Source organism: Homo sapiens, chromosome 12, assembly GCF_000001405.40.
Source record: "Homo sapiens chromosome 12, GRCh38.p14 Primary Assembly".
In the NCBI taxonomy this organism is placed as follows: domain Eukaryota; kingdom Metazoa; phylum Chordata; class Mammalia; order Primates; family Hominidae; genus Homo; species Homo sapiens.
In genome coordinates, this window is record NC_000012.12 from 131,163,956 (window position 1) to 131,179,504 (window position 15,549).

A 15,549-nucleotide genomic window follows, 5' to 3' on the forward strand; every position below is an offset into this window, starting at 1 on the left:
AAAGCGGGGAGGGGACCTGGCCCTGGAAACGCTGCAGCACAGACCTGGCTGCAGGCTCGACTGGATCCAGGGCTCCAGTGATCTTTTTTTCTGTCTCATATCTGGGCCTTCAGCGGCTTTGGCCCTGCTAATGCCCCAATCAGGGACCTCTACCTGGCAGGCTCCCCCTACAAAGGAGTAAGATGGCTGCAGCTGCTTCCTGGCTTCCTCTCAGCTCCGTAGCTCTCCCGCCAGCCCTGGGGCAGGTCCTGGCATGCACTCTGATTGGACTGGCAGAGTCATGTGACCAGGTCTGTACCAATCATAGGCCCAGGGCACAGCCACCTGACACTCTGATTGGACTTGCTCCGGCCATGTAGCCAGCTCTGCACCAATCACAAAGCCAGAGCACAGCCTGTGGAAGTGTAACAACCTTTCCCATTGGCCAGGGAACAAATCCTGATGCTCACTCCGATTGGACTTGCTCGGGCCACGTGACCAGCCCTGCACCAATCACAGAGCCAGGGTAAGGGGCTTCCAACCACACCTGGGCCACAGGCCCCTTCATAGACCAAGAGTCCTTGTAGCGGTCCCAGCGTCTTAGCTGTGGGTGTGGGGGCTCCTGAGTGAAACTCGGGAGGTCCCGGAAGGAGGGGGCGAGGCCCTCAGCAGCTGTGGAGTCTGTGCCCTGAGGCCCCACACTGGGAACTGGGGACGAGGAGACGGGGACGCGGCCCGGGTCTTGACCTCCTCAGGCTCACCAGACACTGCGTTCAGGCCTCCGGGACGGTCCTGGTGGGGCTCGGCCCCCCTCGTCCTGCGCCTCCTCTGGGCCCGCGGGTCCCCAGCTCCCCCAGCCCCGCCGCGGGCCGCACCTCTCTGGACGGCGCTGTCAGGAGTAGGAGTTCAGCCCCAGCGCATCCGCGCCAGGACCCGGGCTCTGTGGCCACTGAGTGCAGAACACGCCGAGCTTCGGAGGTCTGGGAGTTCCAAGTGGAATTTGAATTTTTAATCTAATTGTCTGATTCGTGAACTCGGAAGCTGACGTCACGCCCAGACGTCCCAAGGTATGAGCTGTAGATACGCATGTGAGCGCTGGTGGGAGACGCCAGGCTGGGATTTCCGCTCGATCTGGGAATGAGCAATGCAACCTAATGACACCCGGAGCTCCTGAATCACCTGGGGAAGATGAAGAGAGACACTCTCTGGTGGGAACGTCTCCTAGAAACAAGGCCTAAGATGGGGCGACCACAGCCCCACAGCTGTGTCCAGATGCAGGGAGCACTCGCCTGTGCTGTAAGTCTGTCCCACGGTGGAGAAAGGGCCCAAACCCCACAGCCCTGCGGTCCACCCTTCAAGTGATTTGGGCGTGCTCTCTTTCAGCACTCATGAGTCCCCCAGCAGGTGGGGGTTGTGGGGAGAATCCACATCAGCAGTTAACCCCCTCACTTTGGTCTGTGAAGCCCTACACGCTCCTCTGTCTTCATTTCCTCAGCGTCATATGCTTGACTTTCTCCACCCCCAACCTGCTCTGCCTCTGTGATTATCTTCCTTTTTCTTTACTTCAGGACCTTTGCACTTGCTTTTCCTTCTGCTTGGAAAGCTCTTCCCACAGCCAGTTGGGTGTCAACTCTTTCCCATCATTCTAGTGGGAGAGTTACCTCTCCAGAAACCCCCTCTGGGACCTCCTTTTTCAAGCCTACCCTACTCTCCACCGTTTCACCCAATTTGGTTCCCTTCATAGCTGGCATCACTGTCTTGATGAGGGCTGAGCCCATGTGTGTCTTGCTCACTGCCATGTTTTCAGGATTGAGAGGCTGTTAGTACATAGTAGGTGGTAAGTAAACATTTGGTTGAATCCATGAACATCTATCATGCACGGTGGCAGCCCATTATGGGGAAGATACTGGCTTAGAGGAAGATGCCCAGAGTCCCCTGGAGAAATGGAGGAAGGCTTCACAGAGGAGGGGGCTCTCCATGAAGGCAGATTCACCAGGCTGGCAATGGGAGAGGACATTCCAGGGGTGGAAACCAGCAGGGCCAAGGCTTAAAGAGTGCACACAGTGGGGTGAAAGGGAACTGCTGGAAGTGGGGGAAATGGGAGATGGAGGAAGGTAGGGCAGCAGGTGAAGCTGGAGAGGAGGCAGGGGAAAGCCTTCTGCCCCAGGATCGGATCCTCTGAGGGAGGGGGTAAAATGATGGTCACCAAGATCAGATTTAATCTGCAGGCCTGTGAAGGAGGCACTGGGCTCCTGGTAAATAAGAAATCTCCCAGGGCAGAGACGTCACGCTGGAGGACCACGTGCTGGGCAAGATCCTCAGGTGTTTACTTAACATGATCAGTGTTAACATTTGAATTAGTGGCTGATGCTTAAAATTGAGAGGTTTTGTTTGTAATCCAGGTTTCTGATTTTCCTGAACAGTCAGGACTCTGATTACCTCAGGCCCCATTCTCAAATGGCAGCCATGGCTGAGCAGTGGACATTCCCTCCTGGGGGCATGCTCTCACCAGCTCATCCAGCCCACCCGCTCCATTTCTCCTGTAGCCATGTGCCCGAGGGTGTTCTGAAGATTCCAACTTTGCATCAACTCATATTCACTGAATGGATCTTTGGAAATGGTGATACTGTTTTTGACCTTGAGAAAGTTTGACTTTCATGTTACATGAGATGGACAGACAAGCAGTTCAACATATCACAGGACAGCATCTGTGTGTGGAAATAGTGGGGAGAACAGAGATGGTGTGGTTAGCAGAATCACGCCCCCCCAGTATGTCCATACTTAAATCTGTGGGATGTATAAATATGTTACTTCACATGGGAAAAAGGGCTTTGCAGATGTGACTAAAGGTATTGGCCTTGAGATAGGGAGAGCATCCTGGGTTGTCCAGGTGAGCCCAGTGTCATCATGTGAGTCCCTAAGATAGGATAACTTTCCCAGCTGGGTCAGAGAGATGAGTCAGAAGGAGGAGAAATTCAAAGCTTGAGAGAGCCTCACCCTGTTGCTGGCTTGGAAGGTAGAGAAAGCTGCCAAGGCATGCACATGGCCCCTAGAAGTTGGGAAGGCTGAGCCGATAGGCAGAGAGAAAACAGGGGTCTCAGTCTTACAACTACAAGGAAATGAATTCTGCCAACAACCTGAATGTGTCAGCAAATTATCCTCCCCTAGGGTCTCCAAAAAGGAACACAGCCTGTGGATACCTTGATGTTAGTCCAGTGAGGTCCACGTCAGACTTCTGACTTACAGAACTGCAAGAAAATATTTGTGTTGTCTAAGCCACTAAGTTTGTGGTGATTTGTTGGGGCCGTAGTGGGAATCTAAGATAGGTGGTTATGGTTCTGGAAGTAAAGGAAAGCTGCCCTTCAGCTTGCAGAGACTGGAAGGCAGCTCCACTTGAGGCCAGGGGTGTATGTGCAAGGTATTGGGTGGGGAGAGCTGACCTTAGGATGGAGAATAGAAACAAATGTGCTGAGAAGGATGCGTCCAGCTGCCCAGGAGAGAACGCTGGCAGTGCTCACCAGTATCCTGAAAGGTAGAACAGGGTGAGTCAGCCCCAAATAACCACCACCATGAACTGGAATCCTGAGAGCGAATTACCCACTTAGCAGAGTGCTGACGCTGCCATTTGCTTAGCAGACTTGGCAGAGGATCAGCAGAACGACTTCCTAGAAATGCTGGGGCAAAGAAACACATTGGAAAGTGTGTGATCTGCTGAAGTGTTTTTATTTTCTATTGAGAATGTTGTGTTTGTGCTTTTTGTGTCCTAACTGTGAAATGATACATTGAAAGATTGATTTTGTTAAGAAACTGCTCTTTGCTTGCTATGATCTTCTGGTATTTTTGAAAGGTTCTCAGGGAGGGGGTCATTTCTTTTTTTCTATCACTGGCAAGTCTGAATCACACACCATTATTTATAGAGTAGTTGGGCAATTTCTCTCAGCTTTTCTGATCACCAGCTGTACCAGCTCTGGCATAGATCTTAGAACGTTGTCTGTGGCCTGTGGCGGTGATGACTTCCTGGGAAAAGCCCACATTGAATTCTTATGATGATGTTGAGCCTAGGTATAAGTCTATGTCCATGACAAGGAGCAGGCTGAATGGCCCTGGGAACCTGGCCCCCCTTCCACACTTCCCTGACATTCACTCTTTAACCTGATCTTTGTTGAGTGTGGATTGTGGACCAGGCCCTCCCCTGGATGCTGGGTGTGAGCATCAGTGGGGAGATCAAGTCCTGTAAATCAACTCACATGTCAGAGATTTGGGGAGCAGAGATGGTGGGATGGCAGCAGGATGAAATCTGCACTATCTGTATACCACGAAGGTTATTTTGACTTCACTCCTAATACGTTAAACATTCTAGATTTCCAGAAAACTTACACTTTTTCACCAATGTGATGAACTTCAGCTGTGTTCTGTTGTTGCAGGATCTACCCCTGCTATCTCCCTGAGTCTAAGAAGCGTTAGTCAGGTGAAGCTGCAGCCCTTACCTGCAGGCTGCAGAGTATCATCCATCCTGAGAGATGTGGGGTTGTAGAGAGCAGGAGGGGCTGGATGGTGAGTGGCAGGAGAGGAAGTGTGAAATATGCCTGGAAATGGGTGAAGGGGATACCTCCAGCTGTAAGGATGCTGAAAGATTTTCTTGAGGGATGTTCCATTGTTTTGGGGGTCATTTAAATATGCCTTATATGTGTGAGTATTAAAAAGAGAAGAAAGAGGGACCACTTTCAATAATGGGTACAACTTATAGACAGAGACGAATAAGAAGTAGAAGACGAACAACAACCAAATGCACATTCCTAACAAATGCACATGGAACATTCTCCGGGATAGTCTATATACTAAGTCACGAAACAAGCCTCACCAAGTTTAAAAAGATTGACATTATATGAAGTCTCTTCTCTGACTACTATGGAATGAAGCTAGAAATCAATATTAGAATAAAAACTGGAATTGTAGGCCGGGCGCAGTGGCTCATGCCTGTAATCCCAGCACTTTGGGAGGCCGAGGCGGGTGGATCGTGAGGTCAGGAGATCGAGACCATCCTGGCTAACATGGTGAAACCCCGTGTCTACTAAAAATACAAAAAATTAGCTGGGCGTGGTGGCGGGCGCCTGTAGTCCCAGCTACTCAGGAGGCTGAGGCAGGAGAATGGCGTGAACCCGGGAGGCGGAGCTTGCAGTGAGCCAGATCGTGCCACCGCACTCCAGCCTGGGTGACAGAGTGAGACCCCATCTCAAAAAAAAAACAAAAAAACAAAAACTGGAATTGTTTCTTCTTCTTCCTCTTCCTCCTCTTCTTTCTTTCTTTCTTTCTTTCTTTCTTTCTTTCTTTCTTTCTTTCTTTCTTTCTTTCTTTCTTTTTCTTCTCCTACTCCTCCTCCTCTTCTTCTTCTTCTTTCTTCTTCTTCTTCCTTTCTTCTTTCTTCTTTCTTCTCAGATTTTCACTCTGTCACCCAAGCTGGAGTGCAGTGGCACAATCTTGGCTCACTGCAGCCTCTGCCTCCTGGGTTAAATCACTTCTCCTGCCTCAGCCTCCCGAGTAGCTGGGATTACAGGCGTGGGCCACCACACCCTGCTAATTTTGTATTTTTAGTGGAGACAGGGTTTCACCATGTTGGCCAGGCTAGTCTTGAACTCCTGACCTCAAGTGACCCACCTGCCTTGGCCTCCCAAAGTGCTGGGATTACAGGCGTGAGCCACCGCACCCGGCCTGGTATTTCAAAAATACATGGAAATTAAACAATGCTCTTAAACAACCATGGACCAAATAAGAAATCACAAGATAATTTAGCAAATATTTTGAGACAAATAAAAATAAAAATACAACATACCAAAACTTATAGAATGTGGTGAAAGCACTTCTTACACACAGATCTATAGCAGTAAACATCAACATTACAAAAGAAAAATCTCAAACCAGTAATCTAACTTTACACCTTAAGGAACTAGAAAAAGAAGAGCAATGTAAACCTAAAACCTAAAAGTAGAAGGAAGTAATTAATAAAAATTACGGCAGAGAAAAATAAAATAGAGAATAGAAAAAAACAATAGAACTAATAACATCAAAAGTTGGTTCTTTTTTTTTTTTTTTTTTTTTTTTTGAGACGGAGTCTTGCTCTGTCACCCAGGCTGGAGTGCAGTGGCACAATCTCAGCTCACTGCAACCTCGACCTCCTAGATTCAAGTGATTCTCCTGCCTCAGCCTTCTGAGTAGCTGGGATTACAGGCACGCGCCACCACACCAGGCTAATTTTTGTATTTTTGGTAGAGACGGGGTTTCACCATGTTGGGCAGTCTGGTCTTGAACTCCTGACCTTGTGATCCCCCTGCCTCGGCCTCCCAAAGTGCTGGGATTACAGGCGTGAGCCACTGTGCCTGGCCCAAAAGTTGGTTCTTTAAAAATATCAAGCCAGGCACAGTTGCTCATGACTATAATCCCAGCACTTTGGGAGCCAAGGCGGGCGGATCACTTGAGATCAGGAGTTCGAGACCAGCCTGGCCAACGTGATGAAACCCCATCTCTACTAAAAATATAAAAATTAGCCAGGCTTGGTGGCACACACCTGTAATCCCAGCTATTCGGGAGGCTGTGGCAGGAGAATTGCTTGAACCCAGGAGGTGGAGGTTGCAGCGAGCCGAGATCATGCCACTTCACTCCAGGCTGGGCAACAGAGTGAGACATTCCAGCTCAAAACAAAACAAAAAAAATTTAGCTAGACTAAAAAAAGTCCAAAATCATAAATAGTCATAGACAGTCATAAATAAATCATAAATGTGGGGCCATTACTACTGTTGTTACAGAAATGAAAATGATTACGAGAGAATACTCTAAACAATTGTATGCCAAAAAATTTAGATAGCCAAGACAAAATGGATAATTTCTTAGAAACATACAAATTACCAAAACTGACTGAAGAAGAAGTAGAAAATCTGAACAGATCTGTAACTAGGAAAGAGATTGAATCAGTAAACAAAAACCTTCCAATAATGAAAAGCCCACAACCAAATAGCTTTACTAAATTCTACCAAATATTTAAAGCAGAATTAACACCAACTCTCTTCCCAAACTCCTCTAAAAAAATCAGAGGGCAACACTTCCAAACTTATTTTATGAGGCCAATATTACCTGATACCAAATCTAGACAAACATACCAGAAGGAAGAAAACTGCAGACAAATATCCCTTAGAATATAGAGGCAAAAATGTTTAACAAAATATGAGCAAACCAAATTCAAAAGCATAGTAAAAGCATAGCATAACACGACCAAGTGTGACTTATCCCAAGAATGCAAGAGTGAGTCAACTTAAGAAAATCAGTCAATGTAATATGTCACGTTAATAGAATGCGGGGGAGAAAAACCACATGATCATTTATGAAAACTATATGATCAGGAAAAGTATTTGACAAAATCCAACACCCCTTCGTCATAAAAACACTCAGTAAACTAGGAATAGAAGGGAATATCCTCAACATAATAAAGCATATTTATGACAAATCCATAGCAAACAATATACATAATAGCAAAAGACTAAAAACTTTCTTCTAAGATCAGGAACAAAACAGGTAAGCTCATTTTCATCACTGCTGTTTAACATTATACTGGAGGTTATGATCAGAGCAATTAGGCAAGAAGAGACAAATGGCATTCAGATTGGAATTGAAGAAGTCAGACTATCTCTATTCACAGATGACATGAGCCTATATATTTTTAAAATCTCAAAAAAAATACACACACATACAACTAGGGCTAACAAATGAATTCAGCAAAGTTGCAAGATACAATATCAACATACAAAAAACAGTTGTGATGGTAGACACCAGTAAAGAACAATCAAAAAAATTAATAAAACAGTTCCATTCATAATAGCATCTAAAGGAATAAAATACATAGGAATAAATTTAACCAAAGAGGTGAAAGACTTACACACTGAAATCCACAAAACTTGCCTGAAAAAATTAAAGAAGACCAGAATAAATGGGATGACATACTGTGCTCATAGATTGGAAGTCTTAATATTGTCAAAATGACAATACTACCCACACGATCCACAGATTTAATGTAATTTCTACCAAAATCTCAATTTGTTTCTGTAGAAATAGGAGAATTCATTCTAAAATTTATATGGAATCTCAAGGGGCCCTAAATAGCCAAAACCACCTTGAAAAAGAACAAAGTTGAAGGTTTTGCACTTCCTGATTTCAAAAATTACTACAAAGTTGCAGAAGTCAAAACAGGGTGATACTAGCATAAAGACAGACATACAGACTAATGGAATAGAATAAATAACCCCAAATAAACCCTCACATATAAGGTAAGATGAGTTTTGACAACTGTGTCAGGACCATTCAGTGGAGAAAGCACAGTCTCTGCAACAAATGGTTCTGAGAAAACTGCATTATCACATGCGAAAAATAAACGTGTACCCTTATTTCACACCATGTGCAATAATGAACTCACAGTGGACCAGCAGCCTGAACATAAGGACGAAAAAACATGAAGCTTTTAGAAGAAAACATAGTGGCAAATCTTCATAACCTTGGATTTGGCAATGGATTTTTAAATATACCAAAAGCACAAGCAGCAAAAAGAAGAAAAGAATAAATTGAATTTTGTAAAAATTAAAATCTTGAGAAGCAATGAAACAAGATGGTGGGTAGAACTCTCCAGGGATAATTCCTCCACAGAAACATCAGTTTGAAGAACTGTTCACACACAAAGAAAACCTTCACAAGAGCTCAGGAAACAGGTGAGAGGTCACAGTACATTTTTAGCATAATAATAAGAAAACATGTAGTGAAATGGGTAGGAAGGACAGTTTTACGTTACCCACGTTACCCCTTCTACAACCCCAGGGAGAACAGCATAGAAAGACATGGTCCACTTGGGGGAAGGAGAAGGAAGTAAGCACAGGACTTTACCTTGCAACACAGTAATGTGCCTGCCTCAGTAAACCCCAGCACTGAGGACAACCCTTTGGTCTCTGACACTAGGCTAGTACCCACAGAGGGAACCTCTTGACCTATTCTGGTACCATCTGGTGCCAAACAGGGGCCTCTGGTCCAAGTGAGATGTACTCATGTTCTAGCTCATATCACTGCTGGTTGACTACAATGGCCTTGGGCTCTGAATAAATCTCAGTGGCAGGCAGACTATAGCACCTATGGGCCTTAGACATGCCTCAGTGCTGTGCTGATCTTGGCAGTTGTGGGCTTTGGATGTAACCCTACTTTGTCAGCCTCAGCGGCCATGGAATTGCTCAGGTCACCCCTTTTCCAGGCACTGCAGTGTAGTGCAGAGAGAGTACTCACTTTTGGGAAAAGTATGGGGCTTTGTCTTGGAACTCAGTACTGGGATTGCCACAATAAAACTCGGCACTGGGCAGAACCTCATAGCCCCTGATACCAGGTTGGTACCAATGGGCAGATCCTGTTAACTGCATTGGTGCCAGAGGGAAACCCATGCCCCTGGGAAGATGGTGTGAGATCTGGCCCACATCACTACCTGCTGACCATAGCAGCCTTGGGCACTGAATAAACCTCAGTGGTGGGCAGGATGCAAAAGTCATGGGTCTTGGGCATGCCTCAGTGCTATGCAGGTCTCTGTGGTCATGGGCTTTGAATGTGACCCAGTGCTGTTTCAGCCTTGGTGTCTAAAGGGTTCCAGCTGCAGTAGTCCTGGTCCTGGGGGACCACTAGGGCTTTAATGCTTGAAGCAGTCATGGGCTTAAGGTTCTCCAAGTCAACCTGCCTGGAATTTCTGGACAGGCTTCCTGCTGAAGGAAACTCCAAAAGCCAGACCATAAAGACTGGATTGGGTACCAACATCAATGCACAGACATCAATATATGGCCACAAGGATCAAGATTAATGAGAGAAACATGACATTGTCAAACACAAAATGAGGTGCTAGTTACTGACTCTAAGAAAGTGGAGATGGAAGAATACAAACAATTCAAAGCAGCTGTTGTAACCGTTTTCCCATTTCCCCTGAGAATACTCACCAGTGGTGCTTGTGCTGTAGTGTTTACCCCGAGATAACTTTGCCACGAAGTAGCTCACTTTTATTATTATTTTTGCGTTGCTCTAGTATATCGACTTTGCAAACAAAAGACATTATTCTATTTATAGCATTCTGTTTTTAGTAGTGGCATTTCCATTTACAAAATATAGTAATTCTCGATCACTGAAAATGTCAAGTCCTAGAAAATGTAACATTCCTATGCATTATGTTAACATCATTCTCAAACAGTTGTTGGCTGAAGATTCATTTGATGAATCTGATTTTTTCAAAATAGACAATTTTGATGATTCAGTTGATTCTGATGTTAGTTCTGTTTAGAAATAACTGTAGGAACAGTTTTTATATTTTATTTTCACATTGAAAATCAGATTTGCCTCAACTTCAAAGAGCGTATTTACATAAAATTTAGTGAGTGCTGGCAGTGAGCTGCACTTTTTTTTTTTTCTAAATGGGAAAGGGTTAAGGAAGCTCAAAAAGTATCAACCAAATACAGAGAAGTAATTCTGAAATTTATCAGAGACATTTAGCAGAGATTGAAATAGTTTTAAAAATCAAACAGAAATCCCAGAGTTGAAAAATACAATGAAATTTTAAAATGCAATAGAGAGCGTAACAGCAGAACTGATCAAGCAGGAGAACAAAATATGAGAGCTCAAAGACAGGTTAATAAAAAATATACACTCAAAGGAGAAAAAATAATGAAAAGGAATGAAGAACGCTTATGGGATTTATGGGATAACAACAAAAGAACAAATATATGGGTCATCACTGTATGAGAGAGTAGGCAATGAGAAAGAGGTAGAAAGTTTATTTAAAGAAATAACAGAAAACCAGAAAACTTTGCAAATACAGAGAAATATATAAATACCCAAGTACAGGAAAGTCAAAGGTATTCAGTCAGATTCAATCCAAATAAGACTGCTTCATGACATGTTATCATCAAACTATCAAAGATCAAAGACAAAGAGAGGATCCTGAAAGCAGCAAGACAAAAGAAGCAAATAACATATAAGGAAGTCTCAATATGTTTAACAGCATACTTCTCAGTGGAAAACCTTACAGGCCAGGAGACAGTGAGATGATATAGTCAAAGTGCTGGTGGTGGGGCTGGGAAAAACAAAAAACAAAAAACCTCTGCCAACCAAAAATACTGTATTCAGTAAAGAAATGAAGGAGAGAGAAAGACTTTTCCAGACAAAACAAACAAACACAAAAAACTGAGGAAATTGATCACCACCAGACTTGTATTACAAGAAATGCTAAAGGGATTACTTCAAGATGAAAGAAAAGAGTGCTGATAAGTAACATGAAAACATCTGAAAGTATGTAAGTCACTGGGAAAATAAATAGGGAGTTAAATTTTGAATACTCTAAATGTAATTGTGGTGTGTAAATCATTTATAGTTTTAGTATGAAGGTTAAAAGACAAAGCTATTAAAATAGTAATAAGTACAATAATTTATTAAGAGATAGGCAATATAAAACATGTAAATTATGACATCAGAAGTAAAAAAAAAATTTCTAAGAAGGCAGTTTGGAGACATTGTATGCATCTCCCACTGTAAAGACAAAATAGCGTGTCCACTCATGCCGTGAAATTTTTTCCAAGAAGCACTACAGGAACTTAAGAAAATTGGGCGCCTGTAGTCCCAGCTACTCAGGAGGCTGAGGCAGGAGAATGGTGTGAACCCGGGAGGTGGAGCTTGCAGTGAGCTGAGATGGCGCCACTGCACTCCAGCCTGGGCAACAGAGTGAGACTCCATCTCAAAAAAAAAAAAAAAAAAGAAAAAACTGAAAGAAATCACAGACCCTTTGAAAGAACTGGTGGGCTGAAGCCTACACCATGAGCCAGGTGGAAAACTGTGAGTCTTCAGAGTGAGAGGGAGGAGGAACGGCCTCCAGCATATATGCTCCCACTGGGAAACCTGGCAATCTAGGCAGTGGGGGAAGGCCTTAATCCTACCCAGTGTTGGAACTAATTTGGTGAGTGGTGGGGAGTATATAAGAAGGAGTGGCATCAGGATGTGCTTTGTACGCACTCCCAGACTCCAGTGAAGACAGAGGGATGCCATTTCTGATCCTGCCTCACAGGGGATCTCACAGAAATCTGCCAGCTAACTCAGGCAGCAGTCGCAGGTTGAGAAAAGCTCCCAGCTGAGATTCATGATATAATATCAAGTGGGGTTAACCGCTCTTGTCCAGAACTCAGGGGAGAGTGGGATGTGTGCTGTAGTCACAGAGGCAGGAACTGCATATCCCTGCTTCATGGGAAGACTGGTAGTGGTGTGGCCTGAAAGCCATGGTTTCTGCCTCAGTGGGGAAGGCTTGTGGCCTGTGGCAGTTTTGAGTTCTGAGCACAGACTGCCTGGAACCTAGCTAGCTGCTGCTAGTGGGACACTGCTGGTGTGAGAACTGCCTTGCCAAGTGCATGGGAGCTAGAGGCTTACTGACACCTGCAACTCCTCACTCCCTGTGGACTTTTCTGTGCAGCAGAGACAGCTGTGCTTCTCCCTGGAACACTACCCCAATAGCCAGAGAACTGCCCTCAACTCCCCACTGGGGCTGCTGCTTGTGCCTGCATGTGAAGAGCCAGAATATGGACTTTCCTGACCCAGTCCCTACCTGGCTTTTCTCCTCCACCCCCTCTGGTAGCTTAACACAAAGGACAGAAACTTTTGGGAGCTCCATGTCCTTGCCCATTCCCTGAGACATCAGAGTACTTCCCCTAGGTAACAAGGCAAGCACAAATCCCACTGCTAGCTACCACTGCAGTTGGCACTCTTTTGCAAGCACCACCTCCTGGCTGGAGGCCAGCCAACAGTCTATTGTAACTTCTGCAGGTAGAATAACACAATGCCCAGGAAAGAGAAAACTTATGTGTGACTTCCGCTATTACCATTGCCTGTATTACGCTGGCTACAGGAGGTCCTGAGTGTCCATGTGACCAGTTCATTATGACTACAACTGGCATTTGAGAAAACCAACACACTAAGGCTATTTGTAACCAAGGAAATCTCACAGAATCTATATCACCCCTCTGCCACCCTCATCAGAGCTGGTGCTGGTACCCACTGCTGGGAGACTTGAGGACAGGTCACATCACTGGATCCCTTGCAGGCATTCCCCAGCACTGGTCTGGGGTAGCTATACCCAGAGGAGAAGCAGGATTCACAGTATCTGGCAGGGACTCAGGGACTCCTACTCCTAGGGGAAACGGGAGTGCACCACATGAAAGGAGCATTCCATGGGACAGAAGAATCCAGGTGGCAGGACTTGAGTCCCAGAATTTTCTGCTTGTGGGATGTTTCTTTCAGCAGAGCTAAAGGTGTAGTGCTGGGCTCAGTGAGGAAAGTCTGCAGCTCTACCTCAACAGTCAGGCAGCCCTGGCGCTTGTGAAGGGTCTTGGAGAAGAAAATTTCTTCTCCTCCCACATCCCCATCACTGCAGTCACAACTGGGGCTTCTCCCAAGGAAGTTTGGCATGAGTGCACCGCACCTGTAGACAGACTTTCTAGAACACTGCATCCCCACAGGAGAAGTGTCCTCCAGGTTCAGGCTTGTACGAGGGGTAGAATCATGATCCCATTCTACACAGGACATCAGCATTCCTGCAGATGAAAAGAAGTGCCTGTCTGATTCAAATAGCTGGAACACTGTGTCAGGAGTATGACTGGGAGGTAAATCACTTTCCTTTTGACCTGATAGAGGAGCTGAGGTGTCTCCTTTCCTTCCCCCTGTAAAGACCTCAATGTGTCTCACTGAGCTGGTGCTGGTACCGCCTGCTGGGAGACTTGACAACAGGTCACATCATTGGATCCCTTGCAGACATTCCCCAGCACTACCCTGGAGTGTGGCAGCCTCACTAGGTGGCTAGACCCAGAGGAGAAGCAGGATTCTCTTCCAGCCTCTTTTAGAGAAGCTCCCCCAGCCTCCTCTGTAAAGGCTGGGAGTACTGCCTACTATTGGGTATTGCATTTACCCACCTGCTTTAGCCACAGCTGTTTGTCACTTGTGGACACCTCCTACTGGCCTGAAGCCTGAACTGTTCAACCCAGTGAAAAAACACTGAGGAAAATATAAATAAATTAAAAAGTGCACACCAGTGGGGCATGAGATAAGCTTCATGAGACCTTTGCCATTCCCAGCCTGCTCACACACTGAGCAGATTGCTACTACAACCAGCATCTGAGAAGGCCATCATACAAAGACTCTCTGTAACCAAGGAACTTATGCGAAGTCTTCATCCCTGAAAGCACCCAGAGCCAAATTAGGTTACAATAAACTATAAATATTAAAGTCACATCCTCAAGGGAGGAAAAATAACACAGTTGAATCAAAAATATTAAAATAATTACAAGAGATAATCTACCGAAATGATAAGAAACCAGAAAAATAATTCTGGCAATATGAAAAAGCAGGATTCTATAACACCCCCTAAAAGATTACCCTAGCTATCCAGCAATGGATCCAAACCAGGATGAAATCTTTGAAATACCAGGAAAGGATTCAAGAGCTTGATTATTAGGTTGCTCAAGGAAATACAACAGAAAAGTGAAAACCAACATAAAGAAATTTTAAAAAATCAATTCAGGATATGAATGAAACATTTTCTAAAGCGATAGATATTTTAAAGAAAAACCAATCAGAATTTCTGGAAATGAAAGACACATTTAGGAAATTACAAAATACAGTGGAAAGTTTTAACAATAGACTAGACCAAGTAGAAGAAAGAATTTCAGAGCTCTAAGACAAGGCTTTTGAAATAACCCAATCAGACAAAAATAAAGAAAAAAGAATTAAATAAATGAGGTCTCCAAGAAATATGGGGTTATGTCAAAAGGCCACCCCTAAGAATCACTGGTGTCCCTGAGGGAGAAGAAAAAGCAAAATGTTTGGAAAACATATTCAAGGGAATTATTGAGAAAAACTTACCTGGACTTTCTAGAGATTTAGATCTCCAAATACATGAAGCTCAAAGAACTCCTGGGAGATTCATTGCAAAAAGAACATCACCAAGGAATATTGTCATCATACTATCTAAAGTCAATGTGAAGAAAAGAATTCTTAGAGCAGTGAGACAAAAGCATCAGGTCATCTATAAAGAAAAACCTATCAGACTAACATCAGATTTCTCATTAGAAACCTTACAAGCCATAAGGGATTGGGGTCCTATCTTTAGCCTCCTTAAACAGAATAGCTGTCCAACAAGAATCTTGTATCTAGCAAAACTAAATTTCTTAAATGAAGGAGAAATAAAGTCTTTTTCAGACAAGCAAATGCTTGTCTGAAATAAATGCTAAAAGGAGTTCTAAATCTTGAAACAATGGGTCAAGATGCAACACAATAGAACCTCTTGAAAGCATAAAATTCACAAGGAAAAGAAAACAATAACACAGTGAAGAAAACAAAGTAACTAGGTAACAATCAACATGATGACTGGAACAGTACCGCACATGTCACTATTAACATTGAAAGTAAATGGTCTAAATGCTCCACTTAAAAGATACAGATTGGCAGAATGGATAAAAATTTACAAACCAAGTATCTGCT

The 15,549-nt window shown here is 44.3% G+C and overlaps 1 long non-coding RNA gene across 1 annotated transcript in view; it reads left to right on the forward strand.

The window, feature by feature from the left end:
- Positions 1 to 1,055: 1,055 nt before the first annotated feature.
- LINC01257 (long intergenic non-protein coding RNA 1257) overlaps positions 1,056 to 15,549 on the forward strand; it is a 47,921-nt gene continuing 33,427 nt past the window's right edge. Inside the window, exon 1 of the long non-coding RNA NR_026670.2 lies at positions 1,056 to 1,275. This is a non-coding gene — a long non-coding RNA (long intergenic non-protein coding RNA 1257). The remainder of the gene's footprint in view (positions 1,276 to 15,549) is intronic.